The sequence below is a fragment of the Homo sapiens genome, chromosome 11, assembly GCF_000001405.40.
Source record: "Homo sapiens chromosome 11, GRCh38.p14 Primary Assembly".
NCBI lineage: Eukaryota > Metazoa > Chordata > Mammalia > Primates > Hominidae > Homo > Homo sapiens.
The window spans coordinates 65311633-65333257 of record NC_000011.10 but is presented as its reverse complement, the minus strand read 5'-3'; the positions used below and the strand labels follow the sequence as shown (position 1 = coordinate 65333257).

The following is a 21625-nucleotide window of genomic DNA, read 5'->3' as shown; positions in this document are numbered from 1 at the left end:
GCATGCCTGTAATCCCAGCTACTAGGGAGGCTGAGGTGGGAGGATCACTTGAGCCCAGGAGTTTGAGGCTCCAGTGAGCCACTGGAGCCACATCACTGCACTCCAGCCTGGGCAACAGAGCGAGGCTCCATCTCAAGAAAAAAAAAAAAAAAAAGGAAAAAAAATATATATACATATATATATACACATATATATATACACATATATACATATATATATATACACATATATATACATATGTATATATATACATATGTATATATATATATATATATATAAATATAATCACTAAAGCTGAAAATACACATACCCTATGACCCAGCAAAGTCCACTCCTGGATATACACACAAGAAAGCTGTACAAGAAGCTGAGTGCAATGCCTCATGCCTGTAATCCCAGCTACTTGAGAGGGTGAGGTGGGAGAATCACTTGAGCCCAGGGGTTCAAGACCAGCCTGGGCAACATAGCAAGATCCTGTCTCTTAAAAAAAAAAAACAAAAAAAAACAGGCCAGGAGCATTGGTTCACGCTTGTAATACCAGCACTTTGGGAGGCCACGGTGGGCGGATCACGAGGTCAGGAGATCGAGACCGTCCTGGCTAACATGGTGAAACCCCATCTCTACTAAAAATACAAAAACAAAATTAGCCGGGCATGGTGGCGGACGCCTGTAATCCCAGCTACTGGAGAGGCTGAGGTGGGAGAATGGCGTGAACCTGGGAGGCGGAGTTTGCAGTGAGCCAAGATCGCGCCACTGCACTCCAGCCTGGGTGACAGAGCGAGACTCCGTCTCAAAAAAAAAAAAATAAAGCTGTACAAGAATGTTCGTAACAACATTATTTGTTTATATTTATTTATTTATTTATTTTGAGACGGAGTTTTGCTCTTGTCGCTCCTTAACAAATTCTTCCTTCCAGCCCAGGCTAGAGTGCAGTGGCACTATCTCAGCTCACTGCAACCTCCACCTCCTGGGTTCAAGTGATTCTCCTGCCTCAGCTTTCCGAGTAGCTGGGATTACAGGTGCCCCCAGCTAATTTTTGTATTTTTTGTAGAGACAGAGTTTTACCACGTTGGCCAGGTTGGTCTCGAACTCCTGACCTCATGTGTTCCGCCCGCCTAGGCTTTCAAGTGCTGGGATTACAGGCATGAGCTACCACGCCTGGCCAGCTGATGTAACCTTTTCTTAAACAATCCTAAAAGAACTGAAAGCTATTGATGCTGGGTTCATAAGCTGCCTTTCCAATTATATGCAGCTAGCCTATTTATTATTAGTACTATTTTTAAATTCAAACTTTTAATTGAAATATACATAAAGAGAAGCACATAGATCTTATGTAGCTTGACTAATTTTTTTTTTTTTTTTTTTGAGACGGAGTTTCCCTCTTGTTGCCCAGGCTGGAGTGCAATGGCGTGATCTCGGCTCACTGCAACCTCCGCCTTCCGGGTTCATAGCTTGACTAATTTTTTTCAATTTTTTAATTTTTGTGGGTACATCGTAGGTGTATATATTTATGGGTACACGAGATGGTTTGATGCAGGTATACCATGCAAAATAATTGTAGCTTGATTGATCTTTACAAAATAGACAAACCTGTGTAACCACTACCCAGATGAAGAAAAAGACATCACTAGCACCTCAGTAGCCATCTCATGCTTCTAGCCCTAAAGATTAGTGTGTCTGTGTAACTGTATGTCAATGGAATCATACAATATGTCCTATTTTGAATTTGGCTTCTTTTGTTCAATATTAATTTTTTCCTTTTTTTTTTCAGCCCCCACAATGCTTTGTCTACAGTATTACATTTTTGAGATTTTTTTTTTTTTTAAGACAGGGTCTTACTTTGTCATCCAGGCTGAGTGCAGTCGTGTAATCATGGCTCATTGCAGCTTCGACCTCCCAGGCTTAAGTAATTCTCCCACCTCAGCTTCTCGAGTAGCTGAGACTACAGGCACACCACTACACCCTGACTAATCTTTTTTTTTTTTTTTTTAAGACAGCGTCAGCCAGGCATGGTGGCTCATGCCTGTAATCCTAGCACTTTGGTAGGCCGAGGCGGGTGGATCATGAGGTCAGGAGTTCGAGACCAGCCTGACCAACATGGTGAAACCCCGTCTCTACTAAAAATACAAAAAAATTAGCTGGGCGTGGTGGTGTGCGCCTGTAATCTCAGCTACTTGGGAGGCTGAGGCAGAAGCATTGCTTGAACCCAGGAGGCGGAGGTTGTGGTGAGCTGAGATTGTGCCGTTGCACTCCAGCCTGGACAATAGAGCAAAACTCCGTCTCAAAAAAAAAAAGACAGTGTCTCAAAAAAAAAAAAAAAAAATCTCAGTGGCACAATCTTGGCTCACTGCAACCTCTACATCCCTGACTCAAGCAATCCTCCCACCTCAGCCTCTCTGGGACTATAGGCACACGCCACCATGCCCAGCTAATTTTTGATTTTTTTTTTTATAGAGACAGGGTCTCACTATGTTGCCCAGGCTGGCCTTGAGCATTCCTTGCGTTCTGGCCTCCTGAAGTGTTGGGATTACAGGCGCGAACCACCATGCCTGGCTGAGATTCATTCATGTCCTTTTGTGGTAATAGTTCTTACATTGCTGTTTAATCCATATTACTGCTGATGGGCATTTGGGTTATTTCCAGTTTGGAGCTATTACACATAATGCTGTTACGGGCTGGGCGTGGTGTTTCACGCCTGTAATCCCAGCACTTTGGGAGGCTGAGGCTGGCAGATCACTTGAGGCCAGGAGTTCGAGACAAGCCAGGCCAACATGGTGAAACCCAGTCTCTACAAAAAATACAAAAGTTAGCCGGGCGTGGTGGTGGTGCCTGTAATCCCATCTACTTGGGAGGCTAAGGCATGAGAATCGCTTGAACCCAGGAGGTGGAGTTTGCAGTGAGCCAAGATGGCTCCACTGTACTCCAGCCTGGGTGACAGAGCAAGACCCTGTCTCAAAAAAAAAAAAAGAAAGAAAGAAAGACATGTTACGTCGCCGAACAACAGGTACTCTCTCTATATAGAAAACAGTATATATAGTGTTTCTCTGACAGACAGGAATCACGGAGTAGGAATTTTACATGCACATTCTTGGAATCTCAACTCTGCGCTCTGGCTGATTTAGAGCTTTTAAGACCCAAGGGAATAATGCTTCCACCAGGGGGCGCAGTAAGTTTCTCTAAATCACGATCAGATCGTCCGTCAGTAGGCCATATTTCGCTCCACATGCCACTGGGCAAGAAAATAAAAAGCGGGTCCCACTGTTGGCTGGGGCGATCAATTCCAATTGTAAAGCTTAAGATTGCTATTACCCAGTGGGGGCAGGGAGAAAAATCCGAGGAACTCCCCTGGGATGGCTCTTAATATTTTATTCGGGTAGGTAAGGGGAGATAGGCTCCTGATTAGATACTTGATTCCAACCTTCCCTCTGAAGACAAATTAAAAAAAGAAGAGGAAGTGAAAAAAAAATCTTAAAAGCATTGAAAAGCTAATAGTACAGTGAAGAATTATTGTGCCAACATTGAGGAAGCTAAAACCCAGAGAGGTAAGTTCAGCTTTTGAAGCAGTTTTTGTCCTGGAGGCATTTACTGATCTGGAAGATATAACCATGAAGTTAAACTGTTGTTTGGCAGTCTTTGTGGGGAGGGACGAAAATAAAAACCCAGAGCTTGCTCAAAGTAGGAAGTCAGATACCCCACTACTGACACGTATGTGCTGTAAGATACAAATCAATTTCCATGGACTTATAGTTCAGAATCCTATTATCTGTTTGGTCCAGGAAAGGGGGAGAGGAAAGCTCAGCCTTGAACTTGGATTAAGGTGGACCCATTTTTTTTTTCTTTTTTTTTTTTTCTGAGACGGAGTCTCTGTCGCACAGGCTGAGTGCAGTGGCACGATCTCGGCTCACTGAAGCCTCTGCCTCCCAGGTTCAAGCAATTCTCCTGCCTCAGCCTCCTGAGTAGCTGGGACTACAGGCACGAGCAACCATGCCCAGCTAATTTTTTATATTTTTAGTAGAGACGGGGTTTCACCATGTTAGCCAGGATGGTCTCGAACTCCTGACCTCATGATCCACCAGCCTTGGCCTCCCAAAATGCTGGGATTACAGGCGTGAGCCACCCCTCCTGGCCCAAGATGGACCCATTTTTGAAATGTTCCCAGTTACCTGACAAAAGCAAGCATATTTGGTACCAAGTAACATCCTTCCTGAAGGAATGTACTGTAATCCTAGGCCTCAAATTATTTCTTTTTGTTGTTGTTGTTGTTTGTTTTTTGAGATGGAGTCTCGCTCTGTCGCCCAGGCTGGAGTGCAGTGGCGTGATCTCGGCTCACTGAAACCTCTGCCTCCCAGGTTCAAGCGATTCTCCTGCTTCAGCCTCCCGAGTAGCTGGGATTACAGGTGCCCACCACCACGCCCAGCTAATTTTTGTATTTTTAGTAGAGATGGGGTTTTGCTGTGTTGGTCAGGTTGGTCTCGAACTCCTGATCTCAGGTGATCCGCCCACCTCGGCCTCCCAAAGTGCTGATATTACAGGTGTGAGCCACTGCGCCTGGCCTGTAGCTTCTCCATATATTATTGCTCTTCTTGCTGTGGTCTCTCCTGTTGCCCAGTCTGGAATGCAGTGGTACGATCTTGGCTCACTGCAGACTCGACCTCCTGAGCTCAAGCGATCCTTCCATCTCAGCCTCCCAAGCAGCTGAAGCTACATACATGTACCACAACACCCAGCTGAATTAAAAAAAGAAAATTGTGTTTTTTTGATAACAGAGTCTTGCTCTGTTATCCAGGCTGGAGTGCAGTGGTGCAATCTTGGCTCACTGCAACCTCTGCCTCCTGGGATCCTTGCCACCTCAGCCTCCAGAGAAGCTGGGACCACTGTTGCACACCCATGCTCAGCTATTTTTTTTTTTTTGTATTTTTAGTAGAGGCGGGGTCTTGCTATGTTGCCCAGGCTGTCTCGAACTCCTAAACTCAAACAGTCTGCTTGCCTCGGCCTTCCAGAGTGTTAGGATTACAGGCGTGAGCCACTGCACTCAGTTAGTATATTTTTAATAGATTTTTTTTTTTGAGAAGGAGTTTTGCTCTTGTTGTCCAGGCTAGAGTGCAATAGCATGATCTCAGCTCACTGCAACCTCTGCCTCCCAGATTCTCCTGCCTCAGCTTCCCGAGTAGCTGGGATCACAGGCACGTGCCACCACGCCTGGCTAATTTTTGTATTATTAGTAGGGACGGGGTTTCACCATGTTGGCCAGGCCAGTCTCAAACTCCTGATCTCAGGTGATCCACTCGCCGTGGCCTCCCAAAGTGTTGGGATTACAGGTGTGAGCCATTCTCCTGGCCTTTAATAGATTTTAATTCTTCATTCTTCTTTATTTCCCTCTGCTCCTGTACATAGGGTGTATTGGTAGTAATTAACTTTACGATACAGTTCATAGGTTGCAAAATGTTGAGATGGATGATAAGGGAATTGCAGGAGGAATGGACATCATCCAGAAACGCTAGACTTGGGAGTGGATATGATAATTAGCAAGACTTTGACTTGTCTCCCTTCGGAGAGAGTGAATTTTTTTTTTTTTTTTTTTGAGACGGAGTCTTGCTCTATTGCCTGGGCTGGAGTGCAGTGGCATGATCTCTGCTCACTGCAACCTCTGCATCCCAGGTCCAAGCGATTCTCCTGCCTCAGCCTCCTGAGTAGCTGGGATTATAGGCACCCACCACCACGCCCGGCTAATTTTTGTATTTTTAATAGACACGGGGTTTCACCATCTTGGCCAGGCTGGTCTTGAATTCCTGACCTGACCTCAGGTGATCCACCCACCTCGGCCTCCCAAAGTGTTGGAATTACAGGCGTGAGCCACCGTGCCCGGCCGAGTGAATGTATTTTTGACAGAAAGAGGGATAGACTCACTATACTACATAGGCCAGATATGTTGTTGCTGTTTTTTGAAGACAGAGAATAGGATATAGATGACTGTTGGGCATGTAAAACAGTGCACCGCAGGGGCATTTGTCATTTTGTTGATTGTCCAACAACTTCTCTGCCTATTTTGGGGAATTCCTTTGTAGGTGTGTTTGTGCAGTATAGTGTCTAGATAAGCCGAAGTGGGAAGGTCCTTCTCTCTACCTTAGCTACTTTGTTTTTTTTGGGGGGGAGGGAGGGTTTGGGTTTTTTTGTTTTTTTTTGAGACGGAGTCTCGCTCTTGTCACCCAGGCTGGAGTGCAGTGGTGTGATCTTGGCTTACTGCAACCTCCACCTCCCAGGTTCAAGTGATTCTCCTGCTTCAGCCTCCCAAGTAGCTGGGATTACAGGCACGCGCCACCACACCTGGCTGATTTTTGTATTTTTAGTAGAGAGGGGGTTTCACCATGTTAGCCAGGCTGGTCTCGAACTCCTGACCTCAGGTGATCCACCCACCTCGACCTCCCAAAGTGCTCAGATTACAGGCATGAGCCACCGTGCTCGGCCAGCTACCTTGTTTGAAGGCGGTATCCTGAGCTGCTAATCCAATGCTTCAGTTCTGTTGCCTAGTTCCCTTTCTCCACCCCAACAGGGCAGACCAGCCCCGAGTGGTTTCCCAGGGCCCTGTGGCTGGTGCCTGATGCAGGGTGAGTTGAGAGCACTTTGGGGACCCAGGACAAGAATCTCCTCCTTCCATGGCTACTCCGGCCTCAGCTCAGGTCCAGGGTGAGTTGCTGTCTTCCACTGGGTGAAGCTCTAAGGATGGTGTCCTTTTTTCTTGTCTTCCCCTCCCCAGAGAGCAGGAGATAAACCACTGAAGTGCTGAGGGGCCCCACAGGTAAGAAGGTGCTGGCCCTTCAGTTCCCCGACCCTCTGTCTTCACAAACGTTACCAGGGCCTGAAGCTGAACCCCTGTAGGGACAGAGAGATGCAGTCAAATACAGGCTGTTGGGGTCCCACAGACCTGGGTTTAAATCCCATTCCTGATAGTATATCAAATCTCCAGTCTCCATATGATGACAAAAAATTCAAGTGAAAAACAAAAAGTTAGCCGGGAGTAGTGGCTCACGCCTGTAATCCCAGCACTTTGGGAGGCCAAGATGGATGGATCACCTGAGGTCAGGAGTTCAAGACCAGCCTGGCCAACATCATGAAACCCTGTCTCTACTAAAAATGTAAAAAATTAGCCAGGCATGGTGGCAGTTACCTGTAATCCCAACTACTGGGGAGGCTGAGGCAGAAGAATCGCTTGAACCCAGGAGGCGGAGGTTGCAGTGAGTGGAGATTGCACCATAGCGCTCCAGCCTGGGCAACAAGAGCGAAACTCTGTCTCAAAAAAAGAAAAAAAAGGGAAACAAAAACATAAAGTTTGGTGGGAATGTAAATTGGTATAGACACAATGGAAAACAATATGGCAGTTCCTCAAAAAATTAAAAATGTGATCCGGCCATTCCACTTCTGGGTATTTACCCAAACGAACTGAAAGCAAGGTCTTGAACAGATATTTGTGCACCCTTGTTTATAGCAGCACTATTCACCATAGCTAAACGGTACATCCAGCCTGAGTGTCCATGGACGAACAAATGGATACACAAAGTGTAGTATATACATGTATACAATGGAATATTATTCAGCCTTAAAAAGGAAGGCCATTGGGACATATGTTACAACATGGATGAACCTTGAGGACATGATGCTAACAATGAGGTACTTAGAGTAGTCAGATTTATAGAGACAGAAAGTAGCATGGTGGTTGCAGGGACTAGGGGGTGGGGAGAATGGGAGCTAATGTTTGATGGAGACACAGCTTCCGTTTGGAAACATGAAAACAATTCTGGAGATGGATGGTGGTGATTGTTGCAAAATAACGTAAATGTAGTTAATGCCACTGAAATGTATACTTAAAATGGTAAATTTTATATTATATATATTTTACCACAATAAAAAAAAAAATGCGGGCTGAGTGCAGTGGCTCATACCTGTAATTCCAGCATTTTGGGAGGCCGAGGAGGGAGGATCACTTGAGCCCAGGAGTTTGAGACCAGCTAGGGCAACATGGCAAAACCTCATCTCTACAAAAAATAAAAATAAAAGGCTGGGCACGATGGCTCACGCCTGTAATCCCAGCACTTTGGGAGGCCGAGGCAGGAGGATCAGGTCAGGAAATCGAGACCATCCTGGCTAACATGGTGAAAACCCATCTATACCAAAACTACAAAAATTAGCCGAGCACGGTGGCATGTGCCTGTAATCCCAGCTACTCGGGAGGCTGAGGGAGGAGAATCTCTTGAACCCAGGAGGTGGAGGTTGCAGTGAGCGTGCCACTGTACTCCACCCTGGGCGACAGAGCCAGACTCAGTATCAAAAAAAAAATAATAATAAAATAAGGCCGGGCACAGTGGCTCACGTCCATAATCCCAGCACTTTGGGAGGCCAAGGTGGGCAGATCACCTGAGGTGAGGAGTTCGAGACCAACAAGACAAAATCCTGTCTCTACTAAAAATACAAAAATTGGCCTACAAAAATTAGCTGGGCACCGGGTGCGGTGGCTCACACCTGTAATCCCAGCACTTTGGGAGGCCAAGGCAGGAGGATCACAACATGGCCAAGATGGTGAAACCCCGTCTCTACTAAAATACAAAAAATTAACTGGGCGTGGTGGTGCATGCCTGTAGTCTCAACTACTCGGGAGGCTGAGGCAGGGGAATCGCTTGAACCCGGGAGGCGGAGATTGCAGTGAGCTCAGATCGTGCCACTGCACTCCAGCCTGGCACCAGAGCAAGACTCCATCTCAAAACAAAAACAAAAATAATTAGCCGGGCATGGTGGCAGGCACCTGTAATCCCAGCTACTCGGGAGGCTGAGGCAGGAGAATCGCTTGAACCTGGGAGGCGGAGGTTGTAGTGAGCTGAGATCGTGCCACTGCACTCTAGCCTGGGCGACAGAGCAAGACTCCGTCTCGAAATAAATAAATAAATAAATAAAATGTCCAGAAATAATAAAAAAATGCATTCTCACACACACACACACACACACACACACACACACACACACACACACACTGTGTAATGTTTGTGAAAGGCTGGGGGAGTGGTGGGTGTCTGGGATTCCAAGGTCACACAGGTAGAAAAGAACTGGCTGAGGGTGGAAGAAGGGGCCACCGGGCCCCACCTTAGGCCACTCCCCTCCTCTCTGTCTCCACCATCCTCACCTGGGTCCAGTCCTCCTGCTCATGCCTGCCATGGCTACCTCCATCCCCGACCTGGCGTGGGTGATGTCGTTCCTCAGGTCTAGATCTGACCACCTATCTCTTCTGCTTTCACGTCCTTCAGCAGCACCCCATCGCCTCAGCGTCAGCCTGGCCAGCGAAACTCTTCCCTGCTGCCGCCAGCCTGTGTTCCAGCTTCACAGTCCCGCCCTTCCCGAGCCCCAGTTCTTTCCTTCATCACACACTGCAACCATTTGTAACACCTTTCCTGGACGGGCATGGTGGCTCATGCCTGTAATACCAGCACTTTGGGAGGCTGAGGCGGGCGGATCAACTGGGGTCAGAAGTTCGAGACCAGCCTGGCCAACATGGTGAAACCCCGTCTCTACTAAAAATACACAAAATTAGCTGGGAGCAGTGGCAGGCATCTGCAATCCCAGCTACTCGAGAGGCTGAGGCAGAAGAATTGCTTGAATCTGGGAAGCGGAGGTTGCAGTGAGCCGAGATTGTGCCACTGCACTCTAGCCCAGGTGACAGAGTGAGACTCTGTCACACACAAAAAAACAAACAAATAGACAACAAAACAAAAAATTAGCCAGGCATGGTGGCGTGCACCTGTAATCCAAGCTACCTGGAAGGCTGAGGCAGGAGAGTAGCTTGAACCCGGGAGGCAGAGTTTAGTTAGCTGAGACTGTGCCATTGCACTCCGGCCTGAGCAACAGAGTGAGACTCCGTCTCAACAGAAAAAAACAAAACAAAACAAAACAACAACAACAACAACAAAAAACCCTTCCCTGTGGCTAGTATAAATGTTATCCCTAGTTTTCTCAATAACCCTGTGAGGTAGCTATCAGTGGCTCTTTTTTTTTTTTTTTTTTTTTTGAGATAGAGTCTCACTCTGTCACCAAGGCTGGAGTGGAGTAGCGCAATCTCGGCTCACCGCAACCTCCAGCTTCCGGGTTCAAGTGATTCTCCTGCCTCAGCCTCCCTAGTAGCTAGGATTACAGGCACGTGCCACCATGCCCAGCTAATTTTTGTATTTTTAGTAGAGACGGGGTTTCACCATGTTGGCCAGGATGGTCTCGATCTCCTGACCTCATGATCCACCCACCTTGGCCTCCCAAAGTGCTGGGGTTACAGGTGTGAGCCACCATGCCTGGCCTGCTCCATTTTAGAGATGGGGAAACTGAGTCTCAGGCCAGGTGCAACTCGGAGGTCCACGCTCTTTTGCTGTGTGGTGTCTGCTCTGTCTTCACTCTGGTTCCTCAGTGCCTGTGCTTACATATGAGTTATCTGGCTGGTAGCTCCGATTTGGCTCAGAATCACATCTGATCACATTAATGAGCCCTGACACTCCCTGACCTCCCTGCTAGGCATTCCTGATCACGTTGTTTTCTTCGTAGCCTTTACCACTGCTGGAAATCATCTCTTATTTGTTTACCAATTTAATATCCCCCTTCCAACTAGAATTTAAACTCTTAGAGAGCAGGGATGGCGTCTGCCTTGTATCCCCAGCACCCGGAGCCGTGCCTTGTATACTGGAGATGCTCAGTAAACAGCCGTGGATGGAATGAATCTTGAAGCAGCACTGTTAGACCCTCCCAGCTCCAAGCATCCCTCCTGCATGCTCCCTCGGTGCTCTTAAGCTGGAGAAGCTGTTGGTCCCTTGCACACTTTGTGGTTATTCTTTTATTCTTGGGTGTCCCCCACCAGACCCCAGCTGACTGGGCAGGGATTGGCCCCAGGCTTGGCACAGTGCCAAGCCCACCCCAGTGCTCAGCCACCTCTTGCCAAACATCTGAATCAATGTCACAGCAACACTTGGTTTGCTCCTGTTGCATTCTCATGACAGGCTCAGCGTCAGGTACGACGTTCTTGAGGGCAAGGCCTGTCCTCCACAAAGCCCTCTGGGGCTGGGGTCTCCAGAGGCAAGCCCTCAGCTCTGGGAGACTGTCTGCCTCCGGGAGGAAACCTGGGGCAAAGGGACAGGGAGCTCCGCCACCAGCAGCAGCATGTTTTATTGCAACCAGAATCCCCGGTCACGTGGGGAAGGGATTGGAGCTAGGGATGAGGCAGGACACATCTGGTCCCTGACAGGACACTCCCCGTCCAGGATGCAAAGCCAAAGGCCCGGAACAGCCTGCTCAGTGGCTGAGCCCTGTGGCCAGCTGTGCCCTGTCTCTTCCCCTGCCCCCAGTCAGGGCATCCAACGGGGCAGAGGCAGAAGGGACGTGAAAAGGGGGGTCGGTTTCAGCAAAGCCTTCACCCAGGGACCTGAAGGAAGAAGGAGTATTGTGATGGGGTCCAGGTGCCCCAAGATGCTCAGGGCGCCTGGGCTGACTTCAGGATGTGTCCATGTGGTTATCAGAGGAAAGCGATGGGGCCTGCCCTGCCCACGTGGAGAGGGAGGGAGAGGGGAAACACGGCTCAGAAGGAGAATCACTGGCCAGCGACCATACAGGTGGGATCTTGGGACCCTGACTCCGCCGCCAGGGCCGGGTCCACACCCCACCTCCTGGCTGGGCCCCACCTGGGACCCCAGCCTAGGCAGCCTCGTGTCCTATGTGGGGATCTGCATGCTGTCCAGGTCCTGATCCATGATCTGCAGGACATCATCCAGGATGGAAGGCCCCAGGTCCACGTGCAGGGACAGCAGGGAGCTGGCATTGGACAGGAAGGGCTCCTCGGCCCCTGACTCCGGGGTCAGTCCACTGTTGGGGGAGCCAGTCTCTGGAATCCTCCAGATGTCCACACTCCCTCCCTCCTGTGGGGAAGGCTGAGGGGTCTCCAGGTGCAGGCGAGGGGGCTTGGGTGGAGCCTGGGCTGTGGGCAGGGTGAGAGCCTGGGGTCCACCGATAACCGGGAGGGAGATGGCGTTCTTGAGCAGAGGGGATGGGCCGTCCGGGAGCTCCCGCCCACACACGGTGGCGGTGCGGGTGAACTGGAAGGGGAGGTCGAAGGTGCCATCTTCTTCAGGCCCCTCCACCATGGTCCCCGGCAGGAGGTGGAACTTGCCCTGCAGGAAGGAGATGTCGCCAAACATGTCACTGCCGCCGCCACTGCCAATATGAATGGTGTGGCGGAAGTCCCCCAGCGGTGGGCTGATCATGTCCGAGGACAGCAGGTCCCGAAGCTTCTCCTTCTTGCCCTTGCGACTGCCACGCTTCAGATAGATGGGCACCTTGGTGGACATGGTGACCTCACCACCAGGCCTGGCTGTGAGGCTACGGGCCGCCTGCTGAGACCACACCTCCTCTCCAACCCTCAGCCAGAGGAAACACTCGTTCCACGGGGTGGTTTGCAGGTGCCAGAGCTCGCCAACGGGCTTCTGGCTACAGTGTGGGGGCACGAACAAAGTTGGCCCAAGGAATTAAAAAAGATTAGAGATCAATGAAGTCAGTGGGCTGAGATAACAAAAATCACGTTCTCCCCAAAGGACGGCAAACTCTTCTGAAGAATTGAAGCCAGAAAGGTAGGAACTGTGTGGGCAGCAGTGCACTTTGGTCTTGTCACCGAGGGTTACTTGTCCCCGGTCCAGGGCTGAGGAGCTGAAACACAAAGGGTGCACACCTGTCAGAGACAGCGGGACCAAGGTCAGATGCAAACATCTTTTTTATTTTTAAGATGGAGTCTCACTGTGTCACCCAGGCTGGAGTGCAGTGGCGCAATCTCAGCTCACTGCAGCCTCCACCTCCCAGGTTCAAGCAATTCTTCTGCCTCAGCCTCCTGAGTAGCTGGGACTACAGGCACGTGTCACCATGCCTGGCTAATTTTTGCATTTTTTTTTAGTAGAGACAGGGTTTCACCATGTTAGCCAGGCTGATCTTGAACTCCTGACCTCAAATGATCCGCCCGCCTCGGCCTCCCAAAATGCTGGGATCACAGGTGTGAGCCACCGTGCCTGGCCAGAAACATCTTGTTTCTGGGCCTCTTGTGGTAGCCATGGGATCCTGAGGGGGTGGGGCACTCCCCTTGCAGGGAATTGTACTGGGAGAAGCATGTCTTCACTCTAAGACCTACTGCATCTTATAGACTCACCACCAGGGCCAAGCTCCTCCCCTTACAGGTGGGAAACTGAGGTGGGAACCTGAATGACAGGTCCAAAGTCACACAGAAAGTCCTGCTCTATTCTCTTGCCCTGGGTCCCCGGCAAAGTAGGTCTCATCACCCTTATCCAGGTACTCATACCATACCCCCCACCTCCATTGCACATCACCTGTGCCCCACAATGTAAGTGCCAGATTGTGGGGGGCCTCACAAATGGCCTTGACTCCCTACTTGACCAAGGACAGAGAGCTTTGTGACCACTGTCTCTCCCGCCCAAGCCTGGCGGGGACCTGGAGCACAGCAGATGTTTGGCCAAGGGTGCTGGGTGGCTGGCACTTCCCATTTGACCCAATCATGTCCCACCTGGAGGTGGGGTCGTGTTTTCTCCTCTGCCTATTAAGAGTTCCTTATGGGTAGGGGCTGAGTCTAGGATACTTTCTGGCCTTCCTCCCTACCCTGGCATCTAAAGAGAAGGTGGAGTGGGGAGTACATATATTTTTTAGTTGAGGGGGCCTCTGCTCTGTACCTGAAATTCTTCTGCGCTCTTTGCAGACACATCTCAATTAATCAACACAACCACCCTATTATCAACCCTATTTAAAAATCAGAGGTGTTGGGGCTGGGTGCAGTGGCTCACACCTGTAATCGCAGCACTTTGGGAGGCTGAGGCAGGTGGATCACGAGGTCAGGAGATCAAGACCATCCTAGCTAACATGGTGAAACCCTGTCTCTACTAAAAGTACAAAAAATTAGCCAGGCGTGGTGGTTCATGCCTGTGGTCCCAGCTATTTGGGAGGCTGAGGCAGGAGAATCGCTTGAACCCCGGAGGTGGAGGTTACAGTGGGCCGAGATCGCCCCACGGCACTCCAGCTTCAGCTACAGAGGAAGACTCCATCAAAAAAAAAAAAAAAATCAGAGGTGTCAAAATTCAAAATTGAACCTGAGGTGAACCTACAGGTGAAAAATTTTGGAGGATTCCCACAGGGCATTGCAGAGAGAGAGAAGCAAAATGCAAAAACATAATATAGATCATCCATTTATTGAAAGCATTGACTACCTACCTGCCTCCCTGCTCTGACACATATGCATGTTGTGTAACTGCATGGGTACAGGTCTGTGTAGAATTCTGTCCTATACAAAAAAAAAAAAAAAAAAAAAAAAAAAAAAAAAAAAAAAGTCAGGTGCAGTGGCTCACTTCTGTAATCCCAGCACTTTGGGAGGCCGAGGTGGGCGGATCACCTGAGATCAGGAGTTCGAGACCAGCCTGGCCAACATGTGGAGACCCCATCTCTACTAAATATACAAAAATTAGCCAGGTGTTAGGCCGGGCGCGGTGGTTCACGCCTGTAATCCCAGCACTTTAGGAGGCCGAGGCGGGCGGATCATGAGGTCAGGAGATCGAGACCATCCTGGCTAACACGGTGAAACCCCGTCTCTACTAAAAATACAAAAAATTAGCCGGGCATGGTGGCTGGCGCCTGTAGTCCCAGCTACTCGGAAGGCTGAGGCAGGAGAATGGCGTGAACCCGGGAGGCAGAGCTTGCAGTGAGCTGAGATCGCACCACTGCACTCCAGCCTGGGGGACAGAGAGTGTCTCCATCTCAAAAAAAAAAAAAAAAAAAATTTGCCAGGTGTGGTGGCGCAGGTCTGTAATACCAGCTACTCGGGAGGCTGAGGCAGAAGAATTACTTAAACCCGGGAGGCAGAGGCTGCAGTGGGCCTAGATCGCGCCACTGCACTCCAGCCTGGGCAACAGAGAGAGTCTCCGTCTCAAAAAAAAAATTTGCCAGGTGTGGTGGCACAAGTCTGTAATACCAACTACTCAGGAGGCTGAGGCAGAAGAATTGCTTGAACCCAGGAGGCAGAGGTTGCAGTGGGCCTAGATCGTGCCACTGCACTCCAGCCTGGGTGACAGAGTGAGACTCCGCCTCAAAAAAAATAAAAAAAATTAAAAAAAAAATTTAAAACACAGAGAAAAATCTAGAAGGCCAGCCCTAGGTTGTCATATGGGCTACCTTGACTAGGGTACACAGCAGGGATGGGGGGTGGGGTCACTGATATGGGAGGAAAGGAGTCATCAATAAAAATAACCTATAATATTTTGGTCCCATGACTATGACATGATAAATGTGTGTAATATATATAAATATGAAAAGATGGAACAGTGGTTTTCTCAAAGTGGTAGAATTTCAGGTTGATGTTTCCTTTCTTGTTCAGACCTCTATGAATTCAAATTCTTACTAATAAGCAATGTATTATTTATATGCACATATTTATGTAGTCAGAAAAAAATTAAGCTATTTTTAATGTGTAAAAATAAATAGCTATGAAGGGGTGTCATACTGATTTAACAGAAAAAAGAAATGAAGCAAGCACTCCCTCTGCTTGAGGGTGGGGGACGCACATGGGACCTGATTGGTCCAGTACACATGAGCCCAGATGTAGACTCAGCATAAAAGGCAAAGAGAGAAACTTGTCCAAGGTCACCCAGTGAGTAAGGGCAGCATGGGAATTCAAGCCAGATGAGCCCACCCTCCTGTACCACTCCCTCCCCAGGCCCAGCCAGGGGCTCACCAAAGGTGGCTCTTGCCAGTTCTTTGCCTCAGTTTTCATTCTGGGCAGGGTGAGGGTGGGGGTGAGGGGGTTGGGAGGCGGGAGCAGGAAGGAGGAAGGAGGATGCAGGAGAAGCAGAGTCCAACTGCCCCCCTCCCCCCACCAGCTGAGGCCCTTGCTCAGGAAACCCCACCCCAGGACCGGACACCCGGGTCAGTCGTACTGAGCCACAGAGGCCGGACATCTTACCCCTCCCAGAGCACCTGGAGCTTAACAGGAAACAAAGGAATGACTCTCCCGTGGCGGAAATCCAGCTCAGCTTGCAAGGAGCTGGGGGAAGGGTGGGGACGCATGGGCACCCTGAGGTCTTGGAATCCCGTCACGCATTCATCCTGTGTCAACCATGCCAGGCCTGGGGGCCATGCTGACAAACATGCAATTTGTCGCTCGTCAGGAGAGAAGTCCTGGGGGGGGCTTGTCTTCCTTTTCACTCATGGAGCGTGGGGCTGACTGGTGGGATGTACCCAGAGCCTGGGCCAGGTCCTCCCCGCACCCCCAACCCCATCACACGGCAGCGCCAAGACAGCCTGAGTGTTTCCACAACAAATTGGGCGTCCCTGACAGCTGTCTCACTCACAGCCAGATGTACACACCCAATTCCAGATGTGGGGAGAATCGAGGGTGAGGCCAGCATCAGCGGCCCAGGGGAGAGCTGGGAATTACAACCCTCACGCCCCAGGAATTTAGATTTGGCAACTGCAAGACCCTAGGATCCAGCTTGCCACGCACAGTTTCTCATCTTAAAGCTCCCAGTCACGGCATGGTGGGGTCATTACGGCCCTTTACAGAAGTCGAAGCTGAACCTCAGAGATGTTAAGTAACATTGGCGACGTCATCCAGTTAGGAAGTGGAAGAGTGGGTACCCAGCCTGGTCCACGTGGTTCCCATGCAGTGGGCCACGCCTACTTCCATAATATGTTTGGGGAGCGGGAGAGAAAGGGGCTCACAGCTAGGCTGGGAACAGTGGGTCCCCAGATCTCCTCCATCTACATCCTGACCTTTGGCTGCCCCCGTCTGCCCAACTTTCATGTGTCCAGAGATATGAGAATGAGGTCTCCATCAGGACAGGGCTGTGGGGAGCTGGGAGGGGAGCTCCCTGCAGCAGTCGGGGAGCAGATAGGAGCATCCTAGCTCTCTGTGATTGCCCTGGACAGGAGCCCTGGACCTCCCAATGAGAAAATGACTTCCGGCAGGCAGGGATCCTCCTATCATGAAGAATATTAGGCCACCTCACACCCCCTCTTCTCCTAAATCAGGAGACTGTCCTTAAATCCAGCTCCACCTGGGACTTCCTCAGTAACCTTCAGCAAGACGCCTCTCCTCTCTGGGTCTCACCTTTCCCATCTATAAAATGGGCTGACAACGAAGCCACCACTAAAGGGCCACTGGAGATCCCACTGCAATATTGCAGGTGAGAGCGCCAATGTACAATAGCGGGGTTCAGCGGGTCACTGTAGGTTTTATCATTCATTCAGCAAATATCTACAAGGCCTTCCTTCCTCAAGCACTTCGATTCTCCGGGGCCAGTGCTTTGAACAATAGCAAAAACGAAGGGCTCCTGACCCCAGGCGTCCACCTCCTCCCGCCCTCCTAGACCTCGAGGATGCAGAGACCCTCTAGCGGCCGCTGGGTCTCCCGGGGTCCCGGTGCCTCCGGAGAGGTGCCCGGCTCCGCGGCCGCCAGGTGGCGCGCGTGCTCCCTTGATCGCCTCGTGTCCCGGAGGACTCCGAGAGCGCACCGGGGTCTCCAGCGCCCCTCCCCCGGGCTCCAGGCAGGCGGTCCCCAAGGAGCTGCGCGTTCAAGTACCAGATGGGGATTACCTGCGAGATCTTTTTGCTTCGGGGTTTCTGGTCCCACAATCGGGGAAAAAGGGGGCGATTGGGGACCCTGCCCTAGTCTCCAAGCTCTGGGAGGAGCCTCCCCCCTGTGCTTTCCGGCCTGGGCGATGTCCTAGTGTCCGCTCGGCACAGGGCCAGAGCTCGGGCGTGCGGGCCCCCGCCCCTCCCACGGGTCCGGCTCCTTAGCTCCGGCTCGGGTTCCTGCGCCGACCCCTCCCCACTCCTACCCGGGCGGAGCCCAGCCCAGCCCGGATCCGTTTCAGGACATTCGCGGCCGCAGCTAAAGATAGGAGAACAACTCACTATCGGCTAAAAATACGGCCCCCAGCCCCGGTGGGGATGCTGGGCGGCGGGGCACCCCTGGGTCTCGGGAGGGGGGCGGGGGCCCGGACACAAAATGGAGGGCAGAACGGGGAATTCGGGGTCGGGATGCGTTGCGCCCCCACGGACCGTGGCGGGCACGGGCGAGGCTGCGGGAACCCAGATGCGGGTGGGAAGCCCCATGGAGCCCTAGGAGCCCTCGAAAGGAACTGAGTGAGGTGAGAGGCAGAGCCAGGGCGCGAGCTGGGGCGGGGCGCCACAGAGATGGGCCTCTCGGGGGACCCCCGCGAAGCTGCGAAAATCCCAGCCCGAACTCACCGTGAGGCGCGCAGACGGCAGACCGGCGGACAGCAAGGTCTCAGGAGCTGGACAGCGCGGCGGCCGGACCCGACCGGCGGTGAACTTACAGAGTGCACCGCGGACCCCGCAGCCCCGCCCCGGCCCGCGGAGCCAATGCCGGGGCCGCGCCAGCCAAGCCCCTCCCCATCCCCGCCCAGGCCCCGCCCCACTCCGGGCACCGCCCGGGGCTCCCGGCGTGGGAGGTGCCGCTCCCGGGTCCAGCGGTCGCGCGCGCCCTGGAGTCCTGTCCTGGTTCTGGCGGCTGAGGGCCGGGTGGCGCAGGCGGCCTCCGGCTGTGCCCATGGGAACTAAAACCTTCGGTTCTAGAAGAGCCGGGGGAGAGGCTCCGGGAAGACCGAATTCTTCAGAAATCGCAGAGAGACCTTGGACCGGATCCTTCCCTGCAGGGCTGCGTCGGGGAAGCGCCGGCACAAGTATATTCAGCGACTTCCTTGGAAGCGCCTACGTTAGAATACTACAAACTTACAAGCTAGTTGATCAGTTTACCTCCCACTAGAAAAGACAGTATGGGAAGGCAGAGGCCGCGTGGCCTGGACCCCCGTCTTTGCTGTCAGGCTTCCAGAGTGAAGGTGGGGCTCATATTCAGACTAGTTCCTGGTCCATTCATTCTTTCAGTCAGTCAGTCAGTCATTCCTACAGGGCCAGAAACTTTTTTTTTTTTTGAGACAGAGTTTCGCTCTTGTTGCCCAGACTGCTCACCGCAACCTCCGTCTCCTGGGTTCAAGAGATTCTCCTGCCTCAGCCTCCCGAGTAGCTGGGATTACAGGCATGTGCCAGCACACCTGGCTAATTTTTGTATTCTTAGTAGAGACGGAGTTTCTCCATGTTGGCCAGGCTGGTCTCGAATTCCCGACCTCAAGTGATCTGCCCGCCTCGGCCTCCCGAAGTGCTGCAATTACAGGCGTGAGCCACCGCGCCCGGCCCAGAAACATGTTTTGAAGGGCAGGCACCGCACAGGGTGCTGGAGACAGACTGAAGGAAACTGCACCTCTCAGTGACTCAAGAGAGATTTGTTGAGTATCTACCAAGTGCCTAGCGCTGTTCTTGTCCCTGGGGATTCAGCCTCTGGATTGGGACCTGCAGCCCAGAGAAGGGAAATGGGGGAAATCCAAGTTCCCAGGTACATCATGATACCCTTCCAGGTGGGTAAGTGCTAAGAAGAGTGGGGCAGAGGAAGTGGTGGGTAGTGACGGGGTGGACAGACCTCACTTTCTAGAGGATGACAGCTATGCCAGCTCAGTGTGACCAGGATGGTTGGCTTCAATGCTGTCAGTGTGGGAAGGGCTTTTAGGGAGGCAGAGCCGGGAAGACCTCAGTGGGGGAGGCAGGATGCTGGGGGTGGGGGAAGATGCCAGACAAGCTGGGAGGTCCGGATGGGAAGAAGGGGATCATGGTAGGTAAAATAACAGCCCCCCTAAATATGTTCACATCTAGCCAGGTGCTGTGGCTCATGCCTATAATCCCAGCACTTTGGGAGGCCAAGGTGGGAGGATTGCTTGGGTCCAGGAGTTTGACACTGACACCAGCCTGAGCAACATAGTGAGACCCTGTTTCTACAACAAATAAATTAGCCGGACATGGTGGCTCAAGCCTGTAGTCCCAGGTACTCTGGAGGCTTAGGTAGGAGAATTGCTTGAACCTGGGAGGTTAAGGCTGCAGTGAGCTGTGATCACGCCACTGCACTCCAGCCTGGGCAATAGAGCAAAAACCCATGTAAAAAAAAAAAAAGAAAAGAAAAAAAGCCCACATCCGAACCTGTGTAATCTATGAATATGTTTTGTTACATGAGAAATGGAAATGAAAATTGCCAATGAGGGCTGGGCGCCGTGGCTCATGCCTGTAATCCCAGCACTTTGGGAGGTCAAGGCAGGTGGATCACGAGGTCAGGAGATCGAGACCATCCTGGCTAATATGGTGAAATCCCGTCTCTACTAAAAATACAAAAAAAAAAAAAAATTAGCCGAGCATGGTGGCAGGCACCTGCAGTCCCAGCTACTCGGGCGCCTGTAGTCCCAGCTACTCAGGAGGCTGAGGCAGGAGAATGGCATGAACCTGGGAGGCGGAGCTTGTAGTGAGCCGAGATCGCACCACTGCACTCCAGCCTGGGCGACAGAGCGAGACTCCGTCTCAAAAAAAAAAAAAAGAAAAAAAAGAAAATTGCCAATGAAATTATGGTTGCAAATCAGCTGACTTTAAAATAGCTTATGCTGAAGTATCTGGGTGGGCCAGTGTAATAACAAGGGTTTTTAAAAGTAGAAGCAGGAGACAGAGAAAGAGATGTGATAGGCCGGGCGTGGTGGCTCACGACTCACGCCTGTAATCCCAGCACTTTGGGAGGCTGAGACGGGTGGATCACAAGGTCAGGAGTTCAAGACCATCCTGGCTAACACGGTGAAACCCCGTCTCTACTAAAAATACAAAAAATTAGCTGGGTGTGGTGACACGTGCCTGTAGTCCCAGCTACTTGGGGGGCTGAGGCAGGAAAATCGCTTGAACCTGGGAGACAGAGGTTGCAGTGAGTCGAGATTGTGCCATTGCACTCTAGCTGGAGTGACACAGCGAGACTCCGTCTCAAAAAAAAAAGAGAGAGATGTGATGACTGAAGGGCCAGAGAAATGATGTGTTGCTGCCTTTGAAGATGGAGGCAGAGGCCCCAAACCAAGGAACTGCTTCAGAAGCTGGAAAATACAAGGAAACAGGTTCTACCCTATCTACCCTAGAGGCTCCAGAAGGAACACAGCCCTGCCCTCACCTCCTCACCTTGATCTTAGCTCAGTGAGACTCACACATTGGCCTTTTTTTTTTTTTTTTTTTGAGATAGAGTCTTGCTCTATTGCCCAGGCTGGAGTGCAGTGGTGCAACCTCGGCTCACTGCAACCTCCATCTCCTAGGTTCAAGCGATTCTCCTGCCTCAGCCTCCCGAGTAGCTGGGGTTACAGACGCCCGCCACCATGCCTGGCTAATTTTTGTATTTTTAGTATAGATAGGGTTTCACCATGTTGGCCAGGCTGCTCTCAAACTCCTGACCTCAAGTGATCCACCCACCTTGGCCTCCCAAAGTGCTGGGATTATAGGCATGAGCCACCTCGCTCAGCCCCATGTTGACCTTCTAACCTATAGAACTGTAAGATCACGAATTTCTGTTGTTTTAAGCCACCTATTCCATGATAATTTGTTGTAGCAGTGATAGAAAACGAATCCAAGGAGGTTCAGGTTTTAATCTTGAGTGTGCCCTCAACTCTGCAGGGAGTATTGGTCAGGTGGATTCTGCCAGGAATGG

The 21625-nt window shown here is 51.1% G+C and overlaps 1 protein-coding gene and 2 long non-coding RNA genes across 11 annotated transcripts in view, besides 4 other annotated features; 1 reads left to right on the top strand and 2 right to left on the bottom strand.

Annotated features, from left to right (window-relative positions):
* Positions 1–5032: 5032 nt before the first annotated feature.
* Positions 5033–9513, bottom strand: LOC124902691 (uncharacterized). The gene is made up of 2 exons (XR_007062728.1): positions 9170–9513; positions 5033–6870 (listed from the first exon to the last, which is right to left on the bottom strand). It is a non-coding gene; the product is annotated as an uncharacterized LOC124902691 (long non-coding RNA).
* Positions 9514–10840: 1327 nt separating this feature from the next.
* CDC42EP2 (CDC42 effector protein 2) lies at positions 10841–18392 on the bottom strand. Of its 2 annotated transcripts, none has more exons than XM_047426244.1 (2): positions 18304–18392; positions 10841–12736 (listed from the first exon to the last, which is right to left on the bottom strand). In XM_047426244.1, the coding sequence occupies exon 2, from the start codon at positions 12357–12359 to the stop codon at positions 11727–11729; it is 633 nt and encodes a 210-aa protein (XP_047282200.1). In that variant the 5' UTR covers positions 12360–12736; positions 18304–18392; the 3' UTR covers positions 10841–11726. The 2 variants fall into 2 exon arrangements, with proteins under 2 accessions (XP_047282200.1, NP_006770.1); NM_006779.4 differs by having other exon boundaries at positions 10841–12714.
* Positions 13927–14150: a silencer, noted in NCBI's record as "fragment chr11:65086579-65086802 (GRCh37/hg19 assembly coordinates)". NCBI's record gives its function as "represses an EF-1alpha promoter that drives an FKBP-Casp9 reporter gene in an ReSE screen in K562 erythroleukemia cells {active_cell/tissue: K562}" and the evidence as "EXISTENCE:reporter gene assay evidence [ECO:0000049][PMID:32094911]".
* Positions 17435–17594: a silencer, noted in NCBI's record as "silent region_3515". NCBI's record gives its function as "represses an Ori minimal core promoter by ATAC-STARR-seq in GM12878 lymphoblastoid cells {active_cell/tissue: GM12878}" and the evidence as "EXISTENCE:reporter gene assay evidence [ECO:0000049][PMID:35858748]".
* Positions 17765–17894: a silencer, noted in NCBI's record as "silent region_3514". NCBI's record gives its function as "represses an Ori minimal core promoter by ATAC-STARR-seq in GM12878 lymphoblastoid cells {active_cell/tissue: GM12878}" and the evidence as "EXISTENCE:reporter gene assay evidence [ECO:0000049][PMID:35858748]".
* Positions 18355–18734: a silencer, noted in NCBI's record as "silent region_3513". NCBI's record gives its function as "represses an Ori minimal core promoter by ATAC-STARR-seq in GM12878 lymphoblastoid cells {active_cell/tissue: GM12878}" and the evidence as "EXISTENCE:reporter gene assay evidence [ECO:0000049][PMID:35858748]".
* Positions 18569–21625, top strand: part of LOC105369344 (uncharacterized) — a 20917-nt gene continuing 17860 nt past the window's right edge. For 5 of the 8 annotated variants that reach the window (XR_007062727.1, XR_001748263.3, XR_001748262.3 and 2 more), the window contains exon 1: positions 18569–19487. This is a non-coding gene — a long non-coding RNA (uncharacterized LOC105369344). Of the gene's footprint in view, positions 19492–21625 lie in introns of all 8 variants that reach the window. The other 3 variants (XR_007062725.1, XR_007062724.1, XR_007062726.1) reach the window with 2 other exon arrangements.

Coding starts and splice junctions, on each gene's coding strand:
- CDC42EP2 (XM_047426244.1), bottom strand. CDS start 12,359: ATGTCCACCAAGGTGCCCATCTATCTGAAGCGTGGCAGTCGCAAGGGC.